The sequence below is a fragment of the Homo sapiens genome, chromosome 2, assembly GCF_000001405.40.
Source record: "Homo sapiens chromosome 2, GRCh38.p14 Primary Assembly".
Taxonomy (NCBI): Eukaryota; Metazoa; Chordata; class Mammalia; order Primates; family Hominidae; genus Homo; species Homo sapiens.
In genome coordinates this window covers 153,397,067-153,424,982 of record NC_000002.12, presented here as the reverse complement: position 1 = coordinate 153,424,982, position 27,916 = coordinate 153,397,067, and the positions used below count along the sequence as shown (strand labels likewise).

The 27,916-nt window shown below is 38.1% G+C and overlaps 1 protein-coding gene and 1 pseudogene across 3 annotated transcripts in view, besides 2 other annotated features; one reads left to right on the top strand and one right to left on the bottom strand.

The window, feature by feature from the left end:
• GALNT13 (polypeptide N-acetylgalactosaminyltransferase 13) overlaps positions 1–27,916 on the bottom strand; it is a 1,388,282-nt gene that overhangs the window by 1,031,592 nt on the left and 328,774 nt on the right. The window contains exon 1 of one of the 3 annotated variants that reach the window (NM_001422881.1): positions 15,742–16,104. The exons of the other annotated variants lie outside the window; for them this stretch is intronic. The gene's annotated coding sequence lies outside the window, so the exon portion shown is untranslated. Of the gene's footprint in view, positions 1–15,741; positions 16,105–27,916 lie in introns of those variants that run through there. 3 annotated transcript variants of the gene reach the window in all.
• Positions 3,070–4,306, top strand: TUBAP13 (tubulin alpha pseudogene 13; annotated as a pseudogene).
• Positions 20,531–21,188: an enhancer, noted in NCBI's record as "NANOG-H3K27ac-H3K4me1 hESC enhancer chr2:154260309-154260966 (GRCh37/hg19 assembly coordinates)". NCBI's record gives its function as "activates a minimal SCP1, AML or CMV promoter by ChIP-STARR-seq in primed H9 embryonic stem cells {active_cell/tissue: H9 hESC(primed)}" and the evidence as "EXISTENCE:reporter gene assay evidence [ECO:0000049][PMID:30033119]".
• Positions 21,189–21,847: an enhancer, noted in NCBI's record as "OCT4-NANOG-H3K27ac-H3K4me1 hESC enhancer chr2:154259650-154260308 (GRCh37/hg19 assembly coordinates)". NCBI's record gives its function as "activates a minimal SCP1, AML or CMV promoter by ChIP-STARR-seq in primed H9 embryonic stem cells {active_cell/tissue: H9 hESC(primed)}" and the evidence as "EXISTENCE:reporter gene assay evidence [ECO:0000049][PMID:30033119]".

Sequence of the window (27,916 nt, the reverse complement as noted above, 5' to 3'; positions counted from 1 at the left end):
TGTTTTTGAGAATTATACCTGGTGATGTAGGTAGACATGATTCATTCACTTTTATTTTTCACTTTTGTCTGATATTTTTTCTAGTGAATAAACAATGGTTTGTTATCCATTCCCTTACCTAGGTTGTTTTCAACTCTTAGGCTATTTCCATGTGTTTGCTTTTACAAACAGTGCTGAAATTAGCACACCTTTCTATGTTTTCTTGTGCACATATGCAGGAGTTTATGAAAGACTTCTGGAAATGCAGCTACTAGTTTTATTATGTATGACAAGTTCTTCCAAACTACTCTACCAAATTTCTGTTCAAATATCTCTACCAACTTATGCTACCACAGATAATAGGAGACCTGGTTTCCCAACACTTGGATTTATCAGACATTATTTTTGCCAATCTGATGGATATAAAATGTTACTTTATTGCAGTTTTAGTTTGTATATCCTTAATGGAATATAACATTCTTTCTAATGTTAATTTGCAGCTTATGCTTTCTTCTATCAATTATCTTTTGCTAAACATTTTCAATAACTAGCTTCTCTTTTTCTTGTTTGGAAGAAATTATTTGCATATTCCATACACTAATGAGTTTTGGTTTTCTGAACTGCAAATATCTTCTATATATCCAGATTGATTTTTCATCCTTTTCAGGGTAATTTGCTTAAGAAATATAGGCACAGCAAAATTTTTTAAATATTATCTTTTTTTCTCCTAAACATCTAGTTTTGCTTTTCATTTCATGCCTCTAATGCAATTAGAAAAATGTGTGTTTTATATAAAGTAAGGATATATTTGATCTTAGTTATTTCTGTATGTTTAGCCAATTGACCCAGAATCATTTACTGAACAGATCAAGCCATGTATATGTGGGTAGAACCCACATATACATGGGTAGGACCCACATATACATGGCTCGATCTGTTCAGTAAATGGATTTTTCTATCTATTACTTTTTTTCAGTTAAATTTTTATTTACTATAGTTTCATAATATATTTTGAATGACTAGACCATTATCATTTTTGTTTTTTGAGAAGTCTCAACTGTTTTAGGCACTTTATAGTCTAACATAAGTTTTAAGATGAGTTTATCATGCTTCATAAAAATGATAAAATCTTGGGGTTTTTTTTGAAAGTATAGATAAATAGGAGGAAGAACTCATATATTTGTTATAGTAAGTCTTATGTGTAAGTAATGTATCTCTACATTTAATTAGGTCTTTTATAACTTTCAATAAAGGTTTATGACTTTCTCATTAAAGTCTTGCCTCTGTGAAGTTACTTCTATTTCTAGTACTCTCGTTGCTTCTGTAATTGCTATATTTTGAAATTATATTTTTGTTTGCTGTTTGTATATATGAATTTAATTTTTAAATAACCATTCTCTGTAACTTCTCTTGGACTTTCATATACATAATCATAATCTTTGCAAATGATGACAGTTTTATATTTTTCTAATCCTTGCAAATTTATTTTGCATACCTTCTCCATTTAGCAGGAACTCCACACAATGATGAATAGAAGAAGGCATTGAGGCCTTGTTCTCGATTTAAAGGCATGTTTTTAACATTTTATTACAAAGTATCTTGGTTAAAGTAATATTTGGTAGCTAACTTTTTTTCATATTAAATAGGGTCCCTTACTCCTATTTGTTAAGAGTTTATATTATAAAGGAGTCCTGAGTTTATTGAATGATTTTCCTGCATGTATTGAAATAATCATATGTTTTAAAAATTGTTAATTTCTTAGTGATAAATTACATGTTAATTTATCACGTTTTAACATTGTTATGCTTGCATTCTTAAGAAAAAAATTCATCATTCTTTGTCATGATTTAAATGTGCATGTTTTTCTTTGTTATATTTGGTAATATTTAAGCTATTATTTTTATATCAATTTTTATAAAAGATAATGATCTGAAATTTTTTCACTAACATCCCTGACAGATTTTATCAAAGTATAGTTTACCAAAATATAAAATTGTTGAGGAGCTGTCTTACTTTTTCTTTTACTTTAGAACAGTGTGAATAAAATAGATACTATCAAACCCTTGTTTATTGAAATTATCTTGTAAATATATTTAAAATACATGTTTTTTTCTTGTTTCAGTCATTGTTGGTTTTGCTGTTATTGTCGTTTTTGTCGTTGTGTTTTCCACCAATGCTTAAATTGTTGACTACTGATTTAATTTCATTTATTTTAATAGGATTACTCAGACTTTTATTTATTCTTGAATCTATTCTGTAAAGTGTATTTTTTTCTTAAAAAATATATTTTCAAAATAATTGGCAAAATGTTATTTTATGATTGTGTGGTCTAGTTTTCATTAAAGCCTCTCTCTCTTATTAATCTGCCAGTGATTTGTCTATTGTATTAGTTTATTTAAAAGAATTAACTTTGAGCACTTTTTACTCTACTGTTTCTGTATTTTTTTATTGTGATAAGAGCACTTAGCCTAAGATTTACTCTCATGACAAATTTTTAAGTGGACAATGCAGTATTGTTAAGTACAATTGTACAGCAGTCCTCTAGAAGTTACTCATCTTTTGTAAATAAACCATGTACCCCTTGAACTGATGTCTCCATTTCCTCTTCCCTCCAGCCCCTGATGGGATAGCTATTGGTTATTTTCCATTTAAAAATCTTCTATTCTCATCTTTACGTTTTTCCTTCTTTCTACTTTCTTTGGATGACTTCATTATTCTTTTTCTGCCTGTGTAAACTGGAAGTTGTGCTGATTTTTAGTTTTTCTTCTTTCCTAATATACGCAATTAAGGCTTTTGCCTTTTAATTGTGGTTTTAGCCAAATCCCACACATTTTGATTTACAGCATTTGCATTATCATTCAGATAGAAATATTTTCGAATTTCCATTATCATTTCTTCTTAAAGTGTTTCATGAGCTATTTATGCCTTTTTTTTTAAAAAACAATTTCCAAATACAATGTGTTGCCTATTTGACTCTTAACATGTCAGGGATGGTAACAGAGACCCAGTATCTTCTGACTTTTGCTTTTCTAACCTGTAGCCACTACGTGTGAGTGCATCTTCATCCACCTTGGCGAGGCTGATGTCTGGATTGGCAATGCTGCCGGGAGCTCTACTACCTGGAACAAAGCATCCAGCACGATAGCCCAATGCCAAGTGACAAGACCACTGGGTAAGGAGATAATTGATTCTACGCCTCTTCAGTGAGCAGGCAAGTTTGTGTCCAGGGCAGTGTTTATAAACCTGGAACCCATAGTCACTGATGAAGTTTGCACTGGCACCTACCACCAGCTCTTCCACCCTGAGCAGCTCATCACAGACAAGGAAGACGCTGCCCATAACTATGCCTGGGGGCATCACGACATTGGCAAGATCATTGGCCTTTGGACCAAATTCGCAAGCTGGTTCACCAGTGCACAGGTCTTCAGGGCTTCTCGGTTTTCCACAGCTTTGGTGGAGAAACTGGTTCTGGGTTCACTTCTCTGTTGATTATGCCACAAAGTCTAAACTGAAGTTCTCCATTTACCTAGCCCTGCAGGTTTCCACAGCTGCGGTTGAGCTCTACAACTCCATTCCACCACCAGTACCACCTTGCAGCACTTTGATTGTGCCTTCATAGTAGACAATGAGGCCATCTATGGCATCTGTTGTAGAAACCCCAATACTGAGCACCCAAACTACCCTAATCTTTAACTGCTTTCTTAGCCAGATTGTGTTCTCCATCACTGCTTCTCTCAGATTTCATGGAGTCTGACAGAATTCCAGACCGACCTGGTACCCTCTTCCTGCATCCTCTTCTCTTTGGTCACATATGCCCTGTCATCTCTGCTGGGTAAGACTACCATGCATAGCAGAGGTCACCAGTGCTCACTTTGAGCCAGGCAACCAGATGGTGAAATGTGACTCTCACTATGGTAAATACATGGCTTACTGCCTATTACACCGTGGTAATGTGGTTCCCAAATATGTCAATACTTACTGCTATTCCACTAACAAGACCAAATGCACCATCCAGTTTGTGGATTGGTGTTTCACTAGCCTCAAAGTTGGCATTAATTGCCAGCTTCCCACTGTGGTACCTGCTGGAAATCTGGCCAACATAAAGAGAGCTGCGTGCATGCTGAGCAACACCATAGCCATTGCTGAGGCCTGGGTTTGCCTGGGCCACAAGTCTGACTTGAGTTATGCCAACTGTTCCTTTGTTCACTGGGAAATGGGTGAGGAGATGGGAGAAGAAGCATTTTCTGAGGCCTGTGAGGACATGGCTGCCCTTGAAAAAGATTATGAGGAGGTTGGTGTGGATTCTGTTGAAGAAAAAGAAGGGGAACACTAATTTTCCATTCCTTTCAGCCCTGCAGCATGTCATACTTCCAGAATTTCAGCTTTGACATTAGCTGACAGGCATTAAATCTTTCCAGTTAGATTGTTTTCACTCAGCGGTAATCATGACTTTTCCAAGTGTGCCTACAAGATTTTTCCATCATGTCTCAAATTAAAGGCTTGAAGTAAATAAAATAAAATAAAATTTCCATATACATGGAGATCATATTTGCTATATTTTTTCCTTTTAAATTTTTTTGAATTATCAGCAGAAGCATGATCTGTATGACTCATTTTATGCCAAAATATGTTATTTCTTAATAGTGTCATACATGTTTAAAAAATGAAAATGCTTTAATTCTTGAGTACAGATTTCTAATCTATCAACCTTACAATTTCTCTTTTTATTGTGGTAAAAATACATATAACATAAAATTACCATCTTAACCATTTTTAAGCATAAGGTCCAGTGGCATTAAAAACGTTCATAATGTCCTGTATACCTGTTCTTTACAGTCCTTATATGTACTAAATGTATATGCAGACTGGTGAATTGCTCCTTTTATTATTTTTCTGTAACCTTTTTTCCCAATAATGCTTTGGCTTCAAAATATATTTCTTAAACATTATTATAAGAAGTAACATCATCTTTCTTTGCTTATATTTACCTCAAATATAATTTTCCATTTCTTCACATTCATAATTTTGTGTCTTTATGTTTTAGGTAGGTCTGTTGTAAACTATATATAGATGGACTACTTTTTTAAAATCCACTTTGAGAAGTCTTGCCATTTAACTTGCAAATTTAGTCAATTTACTTTAGGTGTATTTCTACCATTCTTTTTAACTTTTTGAGATAATTGTATATTCACGTGAAACTAATTTTCACTTAGTTTCCCCCAGTGATAGCATAACTAAAGTAAATATTACAACCAGAAATTGACAATGATATAAACTGTTGACCTTAATTCCATTTACACTAGTTTTACATGCATTCATGTAGTGTGTGTATGTGTGTGTGCATGTATTTAGGTCCATGAAGCTTTATCACATGTAAATTTGTGTAACTATAACAATAGTCAATACAAAACAGTTCCATCACAAGGACTCCTTTCATTGTTCACACCCTTTCCTTGTCTACTTCCCTCCCTAATCCCTAAAAAACATTCACCTCTTGTTTGTCTCTATCATTTTGCCATTTTTTGAATGTTAAATAAGTGGAATCACGGAGGATATATGATTTTTGAGACTGGCCTTTTTCAGTCAGTATAAATCCTTTGAGAACATCTGATATGGCCTGGCTGTGTCCTCACCCAAATCTCATTTTGAAGTTCCCATAATCCCCACGTGTCATGGGACAGACCAGGTGGAGATAATTGAATCATGGACAGTTTCCCTCATCTGTTCTCATGATACTGATTGAGTTCTCACAAGATCTAATGGTTTTATAAGCCCCTTTTGCTCGGCACTTGTTGCTGCCACCATGTGAAGAAGGATATGTTTGCTTTCTCTTCCACCATGATTGTAAGTTTCCTGAGGCCTCCCCAGCCCTGAGGAACTGTGAGTCAATTAAACCTCTTTCCTTCAAAAATTACCCAGTCTCGGGTATTTCTTCATAGCAATGTAAGAATGGACTAATACACCATCCAAGTCATTGTATGAATTAATAGTTGTTTCTTTTTAATCTATGGTATGGAGATAAGAGACTCTCATTCAAAAACGGGAAAAACAGGAAGCACATAGCAGTCACTACTCCACAGCAATTCTTTCTCCAGTTCCTTCCTTCCACTCTCCCTTATTTTACCTTATTTATTTATTTACCTTTTCAGACAAGGTCTGGCTCTATCGCCCAGGCTGAAGTGCAGTGGTGTGATCTTGGCACACTGTAACCTCTGCCTCCCGGGGTCAAGCCATCCTCCCACCTCAGCCCCCTGAGTAGCTGGGACTACAGGCATGCACCACCATGCCCGGCTACCCTCCACTCTCTCGAAGCCAATTCTGATTTGGCTTTCTCTATAGTCCATCTACCAAATCTTCTCCTGTCAAGGTCATCCGTGACCTCCATGTTGCTAAAAACAATGTTCATTTCTCAGGCTTTATCTTACTTGACCTATAAGCAGCATTTGACATAGTTTATCAAATGACCATTATTCTACTTCCTTCTTGAAACACTTCCTCATTTGGCCCCTGTGACATGACACTCTCTTATCTATCTGTTTACTTCACTAACTACTCCTTTCTCAGTCTCTGCATTTACTTCCTATCCCTCTCTTGGCAAATTACAACAAACTTAGTGGTTTAAAGCAACACAAATTTATCTTACAGTTCTGGAGGTCAAAACTGCAAAAGGAGTTTCACTGAGCTAATATCACGGTGGCAAACCTTCTGGAGGTGCTAGGGGGGAATTTGTTTCCTTGTCTTTTGCAGCTTCTAGAGGCTACTTGAATTCCTTGGCTTGTGCCTCCCTTCTAGCAATCATATTACCTCACTGACCTCTGCTTCTGTCATCACATCTCTGTCTTTGGTTCTGATCCTCCTGCCTCCCTCTTATGAGCAGTATTCTGATTACATTGGGTCCACCTGGATACTCCAGGACAATCTCTCCAAAATATATTAACAGGTTTTGAAAGGCTGGGATGTGAGCATCTTTGGAAGGCCATTTTGCTGCCTACCACATTCTCTCTTGCTGGTTCTCCCACATCTTTCTAACCTAAACATTGGCATCCTTCAAGGACTCAATCTTCTGATTGTTTCTTCCCATTTCTATGCTTATTCCTCGTGTTAACTGTTACAGTGATTTATATGACTCATATCTGATATTATGGCTTTTAAGTTCCAAGTATATGCTGATGATGTTTAAAGGTATATATTCATCCTGGACTTTTCTACTGAGCTCCAACTGCATGTGTGACAATCTTACTTCGTATATCCAATGGACATCTCAAATTTAATATACTCCAAGTGGAACTTCTCATTTGTCTTGTATCCGAAAAGCTTATTCTCTAAAAGAATTTCTCATTTCAATAAACTTAAAGTTCCATATTTACTTAGAACAACACCCATAGACTCTCCTTTTTTACAATCTACATCCATTTTACCAGAAAATCCTGATAGTTCCATCTTCAAGACATATTCAAAAACAAATTATATTTCCTCACATTCCCCAGGCAGACTCATCCAAGCCACCATGATCTCTCGCCTGGATTATGGCAATATCCTCCTTATCCATCTCTCTATTTGCATTCTTTCTCCCTACTGTTTATTCTTAACCTATCAATCTAAGTGAAAGCATAAGTTAAATCATTTCACCTCTAGTGACCTCCTCTCACTCTGAGAGAGAGAAAACCAAGAAAATTGACTGGGCCTGCAAGGCCCTACATCATCTGCTCCCCGTCTCCCATAATTTCATTTGGTACCTCTATGACTCATCTTCTATTATTTTTCTCTGGCTTTCTCTGTTTCAGCCCTACCCACCTCCTTTTCATTCCTGGAACATTATTGGCATTCTCTCCCTGTAGGGATTTAGCACTGTCTCTTTTCTTCTCCTACCATGCTTTTCCCCAGATATCCTCTTTGTGTGCTTCTGTCCCTCCTCTTGGTCTTTGTTCAAATTTGACATTCTCAGTGAGGCTTCTCTGAAAAATTTGTGATCCCTACTTCTGACCTAGCACTTCCTATCTTTCTCCTCCACTTTATTTGTCTCCATATCACTCATTCCCATGCGATATGCTCAGAAGCCCTTCACTTCCATGGTCCCTTTCTAAGGTCCTGTATTCTTTTTCTTAAAGACAGCCCACAACTGATTCAGGATTCAGGTGCTACAAAAGTTGGATGTATTTTAATTGTTAATTGTCTGTCTCCTTCTGTAAGAGTGCAAGCTCCATGAGGGCAAGAGTATTCGGTGTTTTGGATCACTGTTGTATCATATCACATAGAGGAGTATCTGGCACATAGTATGTAATAAATATTTGTTGAATCAACTAATACAATCAGCAGAATTCACAAAGAAAAACACCAATAGATATAACCCTCTAAAAAACTAACTTCTGTATTTTACAAAAAATACCATAAACAGAATGGTAATCAGCAGTCTAGGAAAATATTTGCCACAACTTTGATAGACAAAAGTTGAATGCCTTTAACATACAAAACAGCAAGAACAAACCAAAACTATAAAAACCATGCAAATGAACAAGACAAAATTTAAGTATTCAGTGGGAAAATATGTAAGCAGTTATTCATCAGCTTTAGTGAAATGATGCCTTTGTGTCATTGGGATAAAGATTCATGTAGTTTAGATGGACGAAGTCAACAAATGATAATTAAATTATTTGGCTCAGTGCTTGTTCTTTGTTAATATTCTTACATTGGCACCATTCCAGTGTGTCTGGAAGAGACCTATGAGACACTGTGGGTTTCTCTCATAAAACAGAAGCAGTCACATGGCTTTGGACATTGCCTTTTTCAAAGACTACACAAGTACATTTTCTTTTTCTTAAGACAATAGTAACTTTCAGAGTATTTCTTAATATTGAATAAAAAAATAAATGATTATGAATCATAAACCACAAAACCAGAGGACTGCTTTTGTGCCACTGTAATTACCAACAACATTCATATGCTTACTCTAACACAGGGCCTAATTTCAGTAGATTTAGTGGTAGGCTTGTTTATTTATAGGCAACTTTCTTTAAACAATTACCTAGAATGATTAAACACTTTTAAATGGGTTGTGTCTGCTGCTATGGCAGAACTTTTTTCTTTTCACTTCATCTTGTAAACAACATTTACTTAATTCTTTTCTGATTATAGAAATAACTTCTGTTCATTTTAAAACTAGCTTAGATTGACAATAGACAGAGAAACATAAGAAAAATAGAGAAAGTTTTCCCTATTCTCACAGCAGAAACAGTTATCAGCACAGAAAGGTTTCTATTTTTGTGTATTTAGTTTACAGTAAATTTTAAAGTCCATTTTAGCAAAACTGAGATCTTACACTCTATATTATTTCACTTCTTGCTTTTGTAATTCAATTTCATATGGTGAACATTGTTTCATATCATTGTGTGTTGTTCAAAAATTTGCAAATTCAGTTTTAATTTTATAAATGCATTATATTTGGTTTACATGATAAAACTGACCATGTACTCATACTTTTATACAGACTTAAATGGTATCAAGTAAGATTTAACACAGTAGTCCATGAGTAACCTTCAGAATCAAAGGTTTCATTCCAATGAATGCAGGACCATTTTCATAATTGCTTTCTTTGCTGCAACACAAGGAGTTATGCCACCTAAAATGCATTTACTCCTGGCTCTCCTATGTGACCGTGGTTCAGGCTTGGATGACAGTTTATCAGAGGTTGTGAACTAGTCAGCCTCCCAAATCCAGCTACCATGGCTCCACCAATTGGCATCCTTTACATGGTGGAGTCATACTCTTCTGCCCTGGCCTTGCAGGGCCCATGTCAACATACAAGACTATATGTGGCTTTTGTAGCACCTGGAAGATATTAAAAAGCCAGCAGTCTTTCTGACGTCTTCTGGATCTTAGTCTTTTCCTTTTTTTTAACATGTAGCTACTCTTATGGGAAGGCCAAATTGACATATTAAGAAACCAAGACTAAATAATAAGTAATACCATGCCAGTGATTTTTATAAAATTCTGTAATTCCTACTACCTGGGAGAGCAAAGCAATTATAGTAGATGATGTCCTTAAAACTCCCTCCTTGTTCCCAAGTAGAATACTCTTCTTACCAGAGTTCTGCTCCCTGACTGGTCTGAAACATTTTTAAAATAGACTTTTATTTGTAAATATAAACAGTTGGTCTGAGGAAAACACCACATTGTAACCTTTCAATGGTACAAACAGAGACAAAATTTGAGAATAGGAGTATATTTTCAGAGTTAAGAAGGACTCCTAGGGTAAAGTGGAAAAACTGATAAGAGTATTTTTTTAAGCTGTAAAACCTAGTGATTAGATTGTAAGATTTTAATCTCTTACTTGTTAAAGTCTCATTTTAGTACCTTTGCATATATGATTCCATTCCTTTGTATACAGATCAGGTCCTAGGACCATTAGCTAATGATAGTTTTCATTTTGAATGACGTGTATGCATTTCATTTAGTGGTTCTTGTCATGACTTCACCTTTCAGTTTTGTGGCAGTGGTATAGATCAATTACCAAAAAAAAAAAAAAAAATCTTTTTATCCTGTGTTTCTAACGCAGATGCTCACCATTTCATCAAATCTAATTTAAAAGGACACTGTAACTTTTTATTTTATTTTTTTTTTATTTTTATTTTTGTGACAGAGTCTCCCTCTGTCACCCAGGCTGGAGTGCAATGGCATGATCTTGGCTCACCGCAACCTCCACCTCCCAGCTTCAAGCAATTCTCCTGCCTCAGCCTCCTGAATAGCTGGGATTACAGATGCACGCCACTACTTCCAGCTAGTTTTTGTATTTTTTAGTAGAGACGGGGTTTCACCATGTTGGTCAGGCTGGTCTTGAACTCCTGACCTCGTGATCTGCCCGCCTCAGACTCCCAAAGTGCTGGGATTATAAGTGTGAGCCACTGAGCCCGGCCATCATTTTTAAATAAAACAAAGAAATAAGGTTGTTTAAAATTTCTCATAAAGCTTATTCCGAAAGATAAATCACTTTAAAGTTTTCTGGCATTTTTTCTTCCATTCTCCCTTACAAATTCATTACTTTTAGAATAGTCATAGGATGTACAGAGATTTTCCACATATATAATAAAGTTTATACTTTTATACATTCTGAATCAATTGTGGGTAACGCTTAGATGCTAAACTATGAGAGATTGGGATTCTAAAAAATGTCTATACTGAGACTCTGAATACAATACTAAGCACTTACATATAAGTTATGTTAGCCAAATATAATAAAATTGCCCAGAAAAATGACCTTTTTCTACAAACATTTGTCTTAATGTACTTGTCTTTAAAGACAAATCTTGCTTACCCAATTTTTCAACAAGTCTATCCATTGATATTTTGAATACTAGGGATCTGAAAGAATTAGGATCTATTTTACATGGACTCAATAGAACAACGGCAGTTATATAACTGAAACCTACATCAGTCATTCCTAAAAACAACAAAAAAGGAATTTATTGTCTGGAAATCAATGGATGAAATTAGTCAATGCTAAATAGGAAATATGGATATGGATATGGATGTAGTTGTATGCCGCTTAAGGACAAACATACAGCTTCTCCATGGTGGAGAGTTGTATGAGTGCACTGGGGTACAAGGCAAGGGTGTTTTGCTCAGGGAGCTGCAGGACAGACCCAGTAGTAAGTGTCCACTTACCTTTGCTTATACCCCAGTGCACTCTCCACCATCTCCACTCCACAGTCTACCCAAGGAAGCTGACCTGTATAGATAGTATCGATACAATCCTGTGCCCTTGGGGAGTTTTGGCCAATGGAGAGGTCAGATAGGATACGGGAAGCAAAGTATAGGGTCAGGATGTATATTTCCCAGATCCCTCCCTTGGGCTGCCTGTGTCCTTAAACAGAAGGTCACTACTCCTCTCAAGACAGCCTGATCTTTCCAACTCTCCCCTTTTGGGCTCTGGTAAATTCTCCCTCACCTCATCCTTAACTGTCTATAGATGCTGCTAGCCCTAGGTTTGTGTATAATACCTCATGGTCTTCCTATAATTTACCTACATTTTTATAATTAGTCATTTTCTATAGAATCATTCTTAAATTATCCTAATTTGTGTGGGCCATGTGATTTCTGCTTAGGCCCTGACTGTTATGTCTCCTTTTGAGAAAGTATTGCTCTCCTGAGAAATATCTCCAACCCATCTGAGTGCAAACACTCACCCACTGCCACAGTTAATTGGGTGCAGAACAAACACCAGAGAGCAAAGAAGAGTCTCTCCCTAGAAATTTGGAAATGAAACCAAGAAATTACAATTCAGCCTGGGTGTTCTTTGAACAAAAGAAATGACAGCCCCAAGCTTTTGGATGGCCAAAAAACAAACACTCAGTCCTTAGGGAATAAGAAGAAAGCCAATGTGTAGAGGAGAGAAACAGGATCTTGACAGTTTTCAAATTCCTGATTCAGTTGTTCCTGAGACCAAGCTTCGGTCTTGCCACTGGCTTCTGAGAGACATGCCAGTGCACTCTTACAATTCCCTCTCTTTGACTTCATCTATTTTGAGATGAGCTGCTGCTTCTTGGAACAAAACAGTCCACATACAGTCAGCATATGAAATTCTCACTTATGATGCCACAAAAGCCCTGAAGAGAAGATAAAAGTGTTTTCATGTTTTTCTTTTAACAAGACAGAAACTGAGCCTCAAAGAGGCTAACTGACATATTTGAATCACACAGCTAGTAAGTGACGGAGGTGAGATTTGAACCCCAAATTAAAAAACCCAAGCTTTTTTTTCAAACCCAGGCTACACTGGTGTATTAAACAGGGTTCCCTAGAGGGACAGAAATAATAGGATAAATATAGATAGATATAGGTCTCACAATAGGCTGTCTGCAAGCTTGAGGAGCAAGAAGAGCCAGTCTGAGTCTCAAAACTGAAGAACTTGGAGACCGTTGGATGTTCCAGGGCAGAAACCATCCAGCACACGAGAAAGATGTAGGCTGGGAGGCTAGGCCAGCCTCACCTTTTCAATTTTTCCTGCCTGCTTTATATTTTCTGGCAGCTGATTAGATGGTGCCGAGCAGATTAAGGGTAGGTCTGCCTTTCCTAGCCCACTGACTCAAATGTTAATCTCCTTTGGCAACACCCTCACAGACACATCAAGGATCAATACTTTGCATCTTTCAATCCAATCAAGTTGACACTCAGTATTAACCATCACAATTGGATGAATTCTTTATAGCAAAATTTTATTGGTTTTGGAGAGGCAAAAGCATTTCTACCATGCTTATGCAGAACCTGAGTTAATGTTCTAATATGCAAACGTATCACACCACCCTTCTTTCCTTCATAAGAAGCTTTCAAGGGCTACTACTATTGCTCCAGCATCAGTCAGACGGCCCAGCATGATCCAGCACCTGCTTGCCCCTCCAGTTTCATCTCATGCTACTACCCCAGTGAACTTTATACTCCAACCCACCTGAAGTGTTTCAGTTCTTTCAAAGCACATGGTCTCTTTCAGTGTCATGCATACATTCTCATGCATACATCTTCCCCCACCGCCTACTCCCGATTTTATCTGAGTCATTTCCTAAAGAAATTAGTTGCCTCTTCTATCTCTCATCAAGCCTGGGTCAGGTACCATTCCTGTGTGGTCCCACAGTACCCTGAGCTTCCCATGTCAGATTCCTAATTCACTGAAATGTATTCCAAACTCTTTGTGGGCAGGGCCACATCTCCCTATCGGATCCCCTATACTGAATCCAGTGCTGGGCATGGAACAGGTATTCAATAAGTACTTGATGAATTAATGAATGAATTTACTATATGACTGAATGTATTACTCTTCAGTTTAGGAAAAAAAAAAAATATATATATATATATATACATATATGCCATGTACAGTGGCTCACGCTTGTAATACCAGCACTTTGGGAGGCTGAAGTGGGCAAATGGCTTGAGCTCAGGAGTTTGAGACCAGCCTGGGCAACATGGCGAAACTTCATCTCTACAAAAATTAGCTGGGCCTGTTGGTGAGTGCCTGCAGTCCCAACTACTCAGGGAGGTGAGAGGATGGTTTGAGATGATTAGACAGAGTTTGCAGTGATCATGACATTGCACTCCAGCCTGGACTCTCTCTCCTCTCTCTCTCCTTTCTCTCTCTCTCTCTCTCTAAATATATATTTATATATTTGTGTGTGTGTGTGTAAATATTTTTCAAACTCTAGAATTCAGACTATCTCTAGTGCTAACACTATATAATCAATACACTATATATGGCTTATTTTTATCTCTATTTCCCTGCTCCACTCTTTTTATTCAAGCTATCTAGAATTTTAATTGAGATTATTATTACATTTTTTACATTATATCTCTACATCTTTAGAAAAACTTTTTTAACAAGAGAATTACCTTCACACTAAAAATGAGTTAATCTAGTTATTGAACTACAGGCTTTAGATATTTTGTTTCCTATGTCTTTCTCTTTCCTCCCTTCTCTGATGATTGTCTGTTGATTGTTTGAAATGATTAAATGAGTGATTTGGGCTTGGAAAACAAAATTTTTCAAAGCTCATTGCTTGTTGAAAGCTCTCTCTTGTACTCTTACTTTGAATATTACATGGTATAGAATTCTAGGTTCAAAAGCATTTCCAGCTGGGTGTGGTGGCTCATGCCTGTAATCTCAGCATTTTGGGAAGCACAGGCAGGAGGATCACTTGAGCCCAGGAGTTCTAGATAAGTCTGGGCAACATAGTGAGACTCCTTTCTCTCCCCCTACCCCACCCCCCCTAAAAAAATAGCTGAGTGTGGTGAGTGCCTGTAGTCCCAGCCACTAGGTGGGGGATGAGGTGGGAGGATCACTTGAGCCCAGGAGGTAGAGACTACAGTGAGTTGTGATATTGCCACTGCACCCCAGCCTAGGTGACAGAGTGACACCCTGTCTCAACAACAACAAAGCATTTTCATTTAGGACTTTGAAGACTTTGCCCTACTTTGTTTCCTAGTATTCTAATCTGTATATAAGGCTGACACTGGTTTGATTCTGAATTTTGTAAATAATCTTTCACTCTGTCCTAGAAACTCTTAAGATATTTTTTCTTTCTCCTTCAAGTTCACAACTTTTACCAAGATATAACCAGGTCTGGAGCATTTTTCTTGGCACATTGTATGACCTTCACATCTGAATGTGTGTGTGTGTTCAGTTCAAGAAAATGTTTATTATTTGCTTTTTCCATTTTTATTCTTAATTATACTTTAGCATTTTTGTTCTTTTTACATCAATATCCTGGGAAATTTCCTTAACTTTTTCTTTCTGATCATTAATACTACGCAGTTCTTTTTATTTCTTAGTTTAGCCTTTCTCACATTTTATTTCAGTAATTATGTGTGTAGCTTTCTGTATTCTTCTTGCTGTCTGATTACCTAATTTTCATGGCACTGATTCTTGGGATTATGAACACAGTGTCTTCCTGAATTTCTCTAAATTTACTAATTTTTAAAAATTCTCTTTTACTTTTCGTGTTTTCTTTGCTTCTGTTGTGGTTGCTTTATTAGTCTTTTTCTTTCAGACTGTTAGCTTTTTCCAGATATTTTACGATACAGGCTACCAAAATCTGTATTAGTCAGGGCTCTCTAGAGGGACAGAACTACTAGGAGATATATATATATATACACACATATGAATATATACATATACATATGAATATATACATATACATATGAATATATACATATTCATATATATATATACATACATATTCATATATATATATATGAAAGGGAGTTTATTAAGGAGAATTGACTCACATGATCACAAGGTGACGTCCCATGATAGGCTGTCTGAAAGCTGAGAAGCAAGGAAGCCAGCAGTGGTTCAGTCCGAGTCCCAACACCTCAAAAGTAGGGAAGCAGGCAATGGACAATGCAGCCTTCAATCTGTGGCCAAAAGCCCAAGGGCCCCTAGTAAACCACTAGTGTAAGTCCAAGAGCCTAAAAGCCGAAGAACTTGGAGTCTGGTGTTTGAGGGCAGGAAACATCCAGCACAGGAGAAAGATAAAGGCCAGAAGACTCAGCAAGTCTGCTCACTCCACCTTCTTCTGCCTGCTGTTTCTAGCTGCACTGGCAGCCAAGGGGATGGTGTCCACCCAGATTAAGGTTGCATCTGCCTCTGACTCACTGAGTCCACTGACTCAAATGTTAAGCTCCTTTGGCAACACCCTCACAGACACACCCAGGAACAGTACTTTGCATCCTTCAACCCAATAAAGTTAACACTCAATATTAACCATCACAATAGGCTAATTAGTTTAGCAAATCAGTATGAGTTTCCCTAGCATTTGTCTTCATCTTTTTTGCAAAAGGCCCATCCTTAGCAAAAAAAAAACAAAAACAAAAACAAAAAACAACAACAACAAAAAACACCAACTGTGGGCTCTGAGCTCTGCGAGTAAATCGGCACAATCGTGTAGAATCATTTCAGTTTTAGTGGTGGGAGCAAGCCAGTGAGCCAGGGTCCCTTTTGATTGCCAAAGTAAGAAAGTCTTTATTGAAAGTTATAGGACTATTTTTGCTATTTATTTTCTCCTTCATTCCTTCTTCCCTCCCTTACTCTCTTCCTTCCTTCTATACTTCTTCGTGGGTTTTGCTTATTTTTTCTTGTTTTATTTCCTTCAACTTGGTGGTGGTGTAGCTTGATCATATGCCGGTCATTTTCTGCAGATGTATCTCATCTTGTCAGCTCTTCTGCACAGGTGTTACTCAGTATGAAAGCAACCCCTCCACTCTTCCTCTATTGGCAACCAGAAGTCAGCTCCCTGGCCTGGAACCCTGAGATGAGCCATAGTCTCTTTCTAACCCACAGTTCATGGTCCACTCCTCTGCTTCTGTAACATTGTCACCTTCTTCTGGTAACCTATATTCTATAGTTGCTCTCTCAGCTAATTCTAACACCCACTGGGGGCTCATTAGGAGCGAAGGGAAATTTGAAGTCTCCTATCCACTCCCGCTCAGATGTAGAGCTGCTTTGTTGCACTACTCTGGGGGGTTACCATTCTCATTATTTTTTACTGTAAATCACGCATTTCGATGCTATGACACCAGCTCTACTGCTAGTGCCCCTTCCATTCTTGTGGTATGAGTAACTACAGCAAGACCCCACTTTAAATTTTAGATAAAAGTGGCACACAAGCCTACCCCTACCCCTTAATGTTTAATCTTCCTGCTATTAGCATGATGTTTATGCTGAGTCCAGAAAGACACATCTTTAGAGATAGACAGAATCAAAGTGGATATTACATTAAAATTAAAGTTGACATCACTTACGAACCTATAGAAATTGTAGCTCCACCAGGGAAGAAAGTACATAAAAAGAATCAGACTAGGATCAGGCAAGAAACAACTTATCTAAATCTAATCAAGCAGTGATGCAGCTCGGGTGAGAGCTGCAGACTTAGATTTGGTTAATAAGTTATATATGATTTGGGTCTAGCAGATGTGAGCTATGCAATAACTATGTTTGGGAATCATAGAGTATTTTACATGAGGTCCCTAAATATTATCACAAGAAAGATCACCTGAGATGTCTAATGCCCCAAATTTCCTGCCTGGCCAAAAATCTCACATTAATATGCAACTTCAGCCAGTTGAGCATTTAACCCCAAAGCTATTTGAGAAGGCAACCTCAAATTGTAGGATCATTTATTTTTATGTCACTAATGCCTTACCCTTGAAGTGCTTTAGAATTAAACATGCAATAGTTATTAGACTTAAGCATCATCAGAATCATCTGTAACTCTTATTAAAACACAAATTGCTGGGCCCCATCCTGAGTTTCTGTTTCTGGAGGGCTGGGGTAGGGCCTGAGAATTTGTATTTCTAACAATTTCCCAGGTGATGTTGATACTGCAAGTTATGAGACCAGGTTTTGAGAAATAAAAACTAGAAATGGAAATGAAAATAACACTGATAATAGAAATATTTTATGTTAGCTTTTGGAATAATCTTTATATATTTATTGTTTTAATTGTTCTTAATATTTAAGATAATTTAGAATATTAGAACACTTAAAAGATCAGACTTATGTTTCAATTTATATATCTGAATTATTGATTTAGACTTACAGTTTTAAGCTGAAAATGATAATGTTCAACCACATGTGAAAACAGTTTAGAATGTTTAAGAGATTTAAACATTATTATAATTAATTACTAAGTTCAATTCATTAGATTTACCAGATATATTTTGGTACTTTGAGAAAATTCACTTGTTGGACGAACTACTTAAAGAGAAAATTAAATATACTAAATTTGTAAATGCTGTTTAAAATGCTTAAGAGAATTTATGGCCCAGCATGGTGGCTCATTCCTGTAATCCCAGGGCTTTGGGAGGCTGAGGCAGGCAGAACACTTGAGGCCAGGAGTTCAAGACCAGTCTGGCCAACATGGCAAAACCCCCTTTCTATCAAAAGTACAAAAATTAGCCTGATGTGCTGGTGCATTCCTATAATCCCAGCTACTCAGGTGACTGAGGCACGAGAATCGCTTGAACCCAGGAGGCCAAGGTTGCAGTGAGCCAGGATCGGACCACTGCACTCCAGCTTGGGCAACAGAGTGAGACTCAGTGCCCCCCACAAAAGAAAAAAAAATAGAGAATTTAAACAAATTGTAAAATCTCTCTTAAGAGTGATGTTAAAATTTGAGCTATTAATAAACATATAAATAAATAAAATAAGATTTTAAATTTGAACTTCAAAGTTTAAGGAAGAACTAGGACTTAATCTGAAATATCAATGAAATAAGTAATAATTTTAAAAGATAAAGAAGCCTCCAAGTTATATTTTCTGTACACAAAAGCCACCCTCAAAAATGTCAAAGTTCCACTGAAATTCCCCAAATCACAGGGAAAATTTTTTTGTGTTCCTCTGTATTCCAGTGCTATTGGTGGGGTTAGGAAAGAAGTTATTCAAGGACGCCTGGTTCATATGCTTCTTGTAACAGTTTGTCTTTAGCAACTTTCTCTTTTCTCTAGTTCAGGGATCAGGGAGGGAAGTACTACTTTTGCTTGTTTAGCTCACCTGCCAATCCTACTTTCCTCACACCTGAAACCCTACGAAGCGCTCTCTAACTCTGGTGAGTGAATCTTTGCTTGCCAGTCTGCATCTAACATTCTATTAGCTCCTGGGGTAAGTTTTAAGGACTGAGTTGGGGGAAAGTTCTAGGCAGGGCAGTTCATATATGCCACCTTGTCCTGTAAGCATAATTAGCATGTCCTGGGTTTTATCAGCTTATAATAGCAATAAGATATTTATATTAGTCCTTCAAAATCTTATGTTTCTCTCATCCTGTTTGACTAGCAGAAATTCTAATATGTTCTTACAGTTTCAATTTGTTACTGTTCCTAAGACTCCAACCTATAAATCATTTCTGGTCACCCTTAGTACTCATTGATAGAGTAGGAATTTAAACTCCCTGAGGTTGGGCTCCAAAACAATTGTCTCAATGATAATTGCGTGGAAAATAGTTCAGCTTTAGCTAACAACTGAGGATACCTGTGGAGCCTTTCTTCTGCTATGCTCAGAGTGTCCTTCACTAAGCTGCACAGGCCCCAAAGTGTTATAGGTTACCTATGGATGCAAAGGCATGAAGATACACAGGCACACACACTTGTGCATGCCTGTGCATGCATTTCCCCTAAGGTGCATTCTTGCAGTCAGGCTGACTAAATTAAGTCCTGGTGCCAGTTTTACATGGAATAGGGAACCACAATTCCTTTCCAAACCTTAGGCTTTGCCTCCAAATCTTCACATAGGTTCAGACTCCTTATTTAGAAACTCTATTGTCTTTCTTGCAATATGTTAACAGCTGCCACTCTCATCCAGCAAATGTATATTTATATATAAAACTTATGGGGAGGAAGGTTGAGTTTCTAGTCCCTTTTTACTTCTGGAGAAACTTACCAGTCTTATGTGTAACCTACTGGATACAAAACAGCATTTAAAAGGAAGGACACCACAAGCTCTGGCTAGCAGTAGTATGTAAGCACCCAAATTCAATTGGATATCTGCAGGAAATGTGACACCTGTCCCACCCAGAGCCAACAGAGGCTTTGCCCGGAAGCCTATCCCACAGCTAAAATGAGCATCACATATATGTGTGAATATTTTAATAAAATATTTCATTTCATTTTTCCATGGGAAAATTAATTCTCAACTTTACAACTATAGACTAGAATGTTGAATACCCTAGCATTTAGCCAGTCTCGTTTACTGAATTTACTTTCAAATATGCATACTTCTATACATTTATTAACCAATAATTTATTTTTTCCTAGTGATTAATACCAAAGACATAAGAGTTGAAGATATTGATCCTGAAGTGGTATCCGTCACATAATTGCAAAAAATTGATTGTTCCTTCCTGGATTCCAAATTTATTATCAGAGAGAAATGATGTAGACTAATACCTTAATTTTACTTAATAATAGCAGAAAATTGGGAAATACTTTTCCTAGATTTTTTTTCTAAAGTAAAAAAAAAATCTTTTGAAAAAAATCACAATTAGGTGAAATTAGAAAGCTTCTAACAGCAAAGAACAGGAAATACAACTTGCTTAACAAATAAGAAAACCACTTGTCACATAATAAAAGTCCAGGGCCAGTGCAGGCATTGGATTTAGTTGATTGATGGCTCATTTTGTTATTAAGATTTCTGATTCATTTTCTGTTTCTGCTCTCACAAACACACACTTTCTTCATCCTAAGGCTAATTCTCCTCACTTTCATAAAATGGCTGACACCAATAACTGGGGCTGTACGTGTCTTTGTTCAGGAAAAACAGTAGGAAGAAAATCCTCTCTCAAAAACCCTGAACTATAAGACCTTGCCATCTATCACCTCGGACTAATTTAAGTCACTAACCCACTCCTGGACTGATACAAGCCACTATGGTTTGCCACACACCAATGAGCCTACATCAGTATTTATTACAACTTCCCTAATGAAAGGGGAGATTTGCAGTGTTTGGTAGAAACACAGATTTCTGAGACCCAAACTTGGACCTAATTTGTGGATTAGAATTTCAAAATAAAAATCTGTTCACCTGGAGGAGCCAAGATGGCCGAATAGGAACAGCTCCGGTCTACAGCTACCAGTGTGAGCGACGCAGAAGACGGGTGATTTCTGCATTTCCATCTGAGGTACCGGGTTCATCTCACTAGGGAGTGCCAGACAGTGGGCGCAGGTCAGTGGGTGAGCACACCGTGCACGAGCCGAAGCAGGGCAAGGCATTGCCTCACTTGGGAAGCGCAAGGGGTCAGGGAGTTCCCTTTCCGAGTCAAAAAAAGGGGTGACGGACAGCACCTGGAAAATCAGGTCACTCCCACCCGAATACTGTGCTTTTCCGACCGGCTTGAAAAACGGCGCATCACAAGATTATATCCTGCACCTGGCTCGGAGGGTCCTACGCCCAGGGAGTCTCGCTGATTGCTAGCACAGCAGTCTGAGATCAAACTGCAAGGTGGCAGGGAGGCTGGGGGAGGGGCGCCCGCCTTTGCCCAGGCTTGATTAGGTAAACAAAGCAGCCAGGAAGCTCGAACTGGGTGGAGCCCACCACAGCTCAAGGAGGCCTGCCTGCCTCTGTAGGCTCCACCTCTGGGGGCAGGGCACAGACAAACAAAAAGACAGCAGTAACTTCTGCAGACTTAAATGTCCCTGTCTGACAGCTTTGAAGAGAGCAGTGGTTCTCCCAGCACGCAGCTGGAGATCTGAGAACGGGCAGACTGCCTCCTCAAGTGGGTCCCTGACCCCTGACCCCCGAGCAGCCTAACCGGGAGGCACCCCCCAGCAGGGGCATACCGACACCTCACACGGCAGGGTACTCCAACAGACCTGCAGCTGAGGGTCCTCTCTGTTAGAAGGAAAACTAACAAACATAAAGGACATCCACACCAAAAACCCATCTGTACATCACCATCATCAAAGACCAAAAGTAGATAAAACCACAAAGATGGGGAAAAAACAGAACAGAAAAACTGGAAACTCTAAAAAGCAGAGTGCCTCTCCTCCTCCAAAGGAACGCAGTTCCTCACCAGCAACGGAACAAAGCTGGATGGAGAATGACTTTGACGAGCTGAGAGTAGAAGGCTTCAGACAATCAAATTACTGTGAGCGACGGGAGGACATTCAAACCAAAGGCAAAGAAGTTGAAAACTTTGAAAACAATTTAGAAGAATGTATAACTAGAATAACCAATACAGAGAAGTGCTTAAAGGAGCTGATGGAGCTGAAAACCAAGGCTTGAGAACTACGTGAAGAATGCAGAAGCCTCAGGAGCCAATGCGATCAACAGGAAGAAAGGGTATCAGCAATGGAAGATGAAATGAATGAAATGAAGCGAGAAGGGAAGTTTAGAGAAAAAAGAATAAAAAGAAATGAGAAAAGCCTCCAAGAAATATGGGACTATGTGAAAAGACCAAATCTACGTCTGATTGGTGTACCTGAAAGTGATGGGGAGAATGGAACCAAGTTGGAAAACACGCTGCAGGATATTATCCAGGAGAACTTCCCCAATCTAGCAAGGCAGGCCAACATTCAGATTCAGGAAATACAGAGAACGCCACAAAGATACTCCTTGAGAAGAGCAACTCCAAGACACATAATTGTCAGATTCACCAAAGTTGAAATGAAGGAAAAAATGTTAAGGGCAGCCAGAGAGAAAGGTCGGGTTACCCTCAAAGGGAAGCCCATCAGACTAACAGCAGATCTCTCGGCAGAGACCCTACAAGCCAGAAGAGAGTGGGGGCCAATATTCAACACTCTTAAAGAAAAGAATTTTCAACCCAGAATTTCATATCCAGCCAAACTAAGCTTCATAAGTGAAGGACAAATAAAATACTTTACAGACAAGCAATTGCTGAGAGATTTTGTCACCACCACGCCTGCCCTAAAAGAGCTCCTGAAGGAAGCGCTAAATATGGAAAGGAACAACCGGTACCAGCCGCTGCAAAATCATGCCAAAATGTAAAGACCATCGAGACTAGGAAGAAACTGCATCAACTAACGAGCAAAATCACCAGCTAACATCATAATGACAGGATCAAATTCACACATAACAATATTAACTTTAAATGTAAATGGACTAAATGCTCCAATTAAAAGACACAGACTGGCAAATTGGATTAAAAAGTCAAGACCCATCAGTGTGCTGTATTCAGGAAACCCATCTCACGTGCAGAGACACACATAGGCTCAAAATAAAAGGATGGAGAAAGATCTACCAAGCAAATGGAAAACAAAAAAAGGCAGGGGTTGCAATCCTAGTCTCTGATAAAACAGACTTTAAACCAACAAAGATCAAAAGAGACAAAGAAGGCCATTACATAATGGTAAAGGGATCAATTCAACAAGAAGAGCTAACTATCCTAAATATATATGCACCCAATACAGGGGCACCCAGATTCATAAAGCAAGTCCTGAGTGACCTACAAAGAGACTTAGACTCCCACACATTAATAATGGGAGACTTTAACACCCCACTGTCAACATTAGACAGATCAACGAGACAGAAAGTCAACAAGGATACCCAGGAATTGAACTCAGCTCTGCACCAAGCAGACCTAATAGACATCTACAGAGCTCTCCACCCCAAATCAACAGAATATACATTTTTTTCAGCACCACACCACACCTATTCCAAAATTGACCACTTACTTGGAAGTAAAGCTCTCCTCAGCAAATGTAAAAGAACAGAAATTATAACAAACTATCTCTCAGACCACAGTGCAATCAAACTAGAACTCAGGATTAAGAATCTCATTCAAAAGCGCTCAACTACATGGAAACTGAACAACCTGCTCCTGAATGACTACTGGGTACATAACGAAATAAAGGCAGAAATAAAGATATTCTTTGAAACCAATGAGAACAAAGACACAACATACCAGAATCTCTGGGACACATTCAAAGCAGTGTGTAGAGGGAAATTTATAGCACTAAATGCCCACAAGAGAAAGCAGGAAAGATCCAAAATTGACACCCTAACATCACAATTAAAAGAACTAGAAAACCAAGAGCAAACACATGCAAAAGCTAGCAGAAGGCAAGAAATAACTAAAATCAGAGCAGAACTGAAGGAAATAGAGACACAAAAAACCCTTCAAAAAATTAATGAATCCAGGAGCTGGTTTTTTGAAAGGATCAACAAAATTGATAGACCGTTAGCCAGACTAATAAAGAAAAAAAGAGAGAAGAATCAAATAGACACAATAAAAAATGATAAAGGGGATATCACCACCGATCCCACAGAAATACAAACTACCATCAGAGAATACTACAAATACCTCTACGCAAATAAACTACAAAATCTAGAAGAAATGGATAAATTCCTCGACAAATACACTCTCCCAAGACTAAACCAGGAAGAAGTTGAATCTCTGAATAGACCAATAACAGGAGCTGAAATTGTGGCAATAATCAATAGCTTACCAACCAAAAAGAGTCCAGGACCAGATGGATTCACAGCCGAATTCTACCAGAGGTACAAGGAGGAACTAGTACCATTCCTTCTGAAACTCTTCCAATCAACAGAAAAAGAGGGAATCCTCCCTAACTCATTTTATGAGGCTAGCATCATTCTGATACCAAAGCCAGGCAAAGGCACAACAAAAAAAGAGAATTTTAGACCAATATCCTTGAAGAACATCGATGCACAAATCCTCAATAAAATACTGGCAAAACGAATCCAGCAGCACATCAAAAAGCTTATCCACCATGATGAAGTGGGCTTCATCCCTGGGATGCAAGGCTGGTTCAATATACGCAAATCAATAAATGTAATCCAGCATATAAACAGAGCCAAAGACAAAAACCACATGATTATCTCAATAGATGCAGAAAAAGCCTTTGACAAAATTCAACAACCATTCATGCTAAAAACTCTCAATAAATTAGGTATTGATGGGACGTATTTCAAAATAATAAGAGCTATCTATGACAAACCCACAGCCAGTATCATACTGAATGGGCAAAAACTGGAAGCATTCCCTTTGAAAACTGGCACAAGACAGGGATGCCCTCTCTCACCACTCCTATTCAACATAGTGTTGGAAGTTCTGGCCAGGGCAATTAGGCAGCAGAAGGAAATAAAGGGTATTCAATTAGGAAAAGAGGAAGTCAAATTGTCCCTGTTTGCAGACGACATGATTGTATATCTAGAAAACCCCATTGTCTCAGCCCAAAATCTCCTTAAGCTGATAAGCAACTTCAGCAAAGTCCCAGGATACAAAATCAATGTACAAAAATCACAAGCATTCTTATACACCAACCACAGACAAACAGAGAGCCAAATCATGAGTGAACTCCCATTCACAATTGCTTCAAAGAGAATAAAATACCTAGGAATCCAACTTACAAGGGATGTGAAGGACCTCTTCAAGGAGAACTACAAACCACTGCTCAAGGAAATAAAAGAGGATACAAACAAATGGAAGAACATCCCATGCTCATGGGTAGGAAGAATCAATATTGTGAAAATGGCCATACTGCCCAAGGTAATTTACAGATTCAATGCCATCCCCATCAAGCTACCAATGCCTTTCTTCACAGAATTGGAAAAAACTACTTTAAAGTTCATATGGAACTAAAAAAGAGCCCACATCACCAAGTCAATCCTAAGCGAAAAGAACAAAGCTGGAGGTATCACACTACCTGACTTCAAACTATACTACAAGGCTACAGTAACCAAAACAGCGTGGTACTGCCACCAAAACAGAGATATAGATCAATGGAACAGAACAGAGCCCTCAGAAATAACGCCGCATATCTACAACTATCTGATCTTTGACAAACCTGAGAAAAACAAGCAATGGGGAAAGGATTCCCTATTTAATAAATGGTGCTGGGAAAACTGGCTAGCCATATGTAGAAAGCTGAAACTGGATCCCTTCCTTACACCTTATACAAAAATCAATTCAAGATGGATTAAAGACTTAAACGTTAGACCTAAAACCATAAAAACCCTAGAAGAAAACCTAGGCATTACCATTCAGGACATAGGCATGGGCAAGGACTTCATGTCCAAAACACCAAAAGCAATGGCAACAAAAGCCAAAATTGACAAATGGGATCTAATTAAACTAAAGAGCTTCTGCACAGCAAAAGAAACTACCATCAGAGTGAACAGGCAACCTACAACATGGGAGAAAATTTTCACAACCTACTCATCTGACAAAGGGCTAATATCCAGAATCTACAATGAACTCCAACAAATTTACAAGAAAAAAACAAACAACCCCATCAAAAAGTGGGCGAAGGACATGAACAGACACTTCTCAAAAGAAGACATTTATGCAGCCAAAAAACACATGAAAAAATGCTCATCATCACTGGCCTTCAGAGAAATGCAAATCAAAACTACAATGAGACACCATCTCACACCAGTTAGAATGGCAATCATTAAAAAGTCAGGAAACAACAGGTGCTGGAGAGGATGTGGAGAAATAGGAACACTTTTACACTGTTGGTGGAACTGTAAACTAGTTCAACCATTGTGGAAGTCAGTGTGGCGATTCCTCAGGGATCTAGAACAGGAAATACCATTTGACCCAGCCATCCCATTACTGGGTATGTACCCAAAGGACTATAAATCATGCTGCTATAAAGACACATGCACACGTATGTTTATTGCGGCATTATTCACCATAACAAAGACTTGGAACCAACCCAAATGTCCAACAATGATAGACTGGATTAAGAAAATGTGGCACATATACACCATGGAATACTATGCAGCCACAAAAAATGATGAGTTTATGTCCTTTGTAGGGACATGGGTGAAACTGGAAATCATCATTCTCAGTAAACTATCGCAAGAACAAAAAACCAGACACCGTATATTCTCACTCATAGGTGGGAATTGAACAATGAGATCTCATGGACACAGGAAGGGGAATATCACACTCTGGGGACTGTTGTGGGGTAGGGGGAGGGGGGAGGGATAGCATTGCGAGATATACCTAATGCTAGATGACGAATTAGTGGGTGCAGCACACCAGCATGGCACATGTATACATATGTAACTAACCTGCACAATGTGCACATGTACCCTGAAACTTAAAGTATAATAATAAAAAATAAATTAAAAAAAATCTGTTCACCTATGTATTCAGCAAGTTTTCAGGTAAGTCAGTGGAAATTTCAAAAACCTATAGATGAATCAAAATCCAAAACTGAAATTCTCTGAGTCATATAGAGAAGTGTGGAAACGTCAGTAAATTGGAGTTCTGCTAGGATGGAAGACCGAATAGACACTGGATACCAACCAGCAGTTAACAACTAGAGCAGCAGATGTTGTCTGCTTTTCTTAGTTCTCCACTTTGAACCCTCCCCCTTGGTGATACTTTTTTTTTTTTTGCCTTCATAGACATTCCTTCCCTCCCGACAACAAAGCATGAATCTCTCATACCTAATTCCAAATACGGATGCAAGACTGGTAACATCTAGTTAAAATATTGGAGCCTAAAAATCAGTGAGTGAGATAAATCTTTCTCTAGACTTTCCCCACACTCTGAAAATATCAGATCGTACGTTGTGGTCTCATTGGTTTTCATGAAAAGTCAGTGCACCAGTGAATACAATCCTGCCATGGAGGCTCTTACTGATTCATAGTGGTTCTTCCCATGGTCTGCATTAAGGCATAGAACATAGCACATTATCATCAGTAAAATAAAAATAAAATATGTGAACTCTCCTTAGGTTGAACATGTATGCTATGTAAAATGCATAGATTTGAACATACACCCTGGAGACACAGGAAGAATAAAGTTCCCACAACCAGAAATAAGAAACATCCTTTTACTTTCTGATACTAACAATTTAAAAGGCATTTGTCATTACAGCAGATGCTGGTTACAGTGCCATTGGTTAGATGTTGTAAATATAACTAACTATATACTTATAGAAGAAGCAATCATTAAGCCTGTGATTGCTTTCT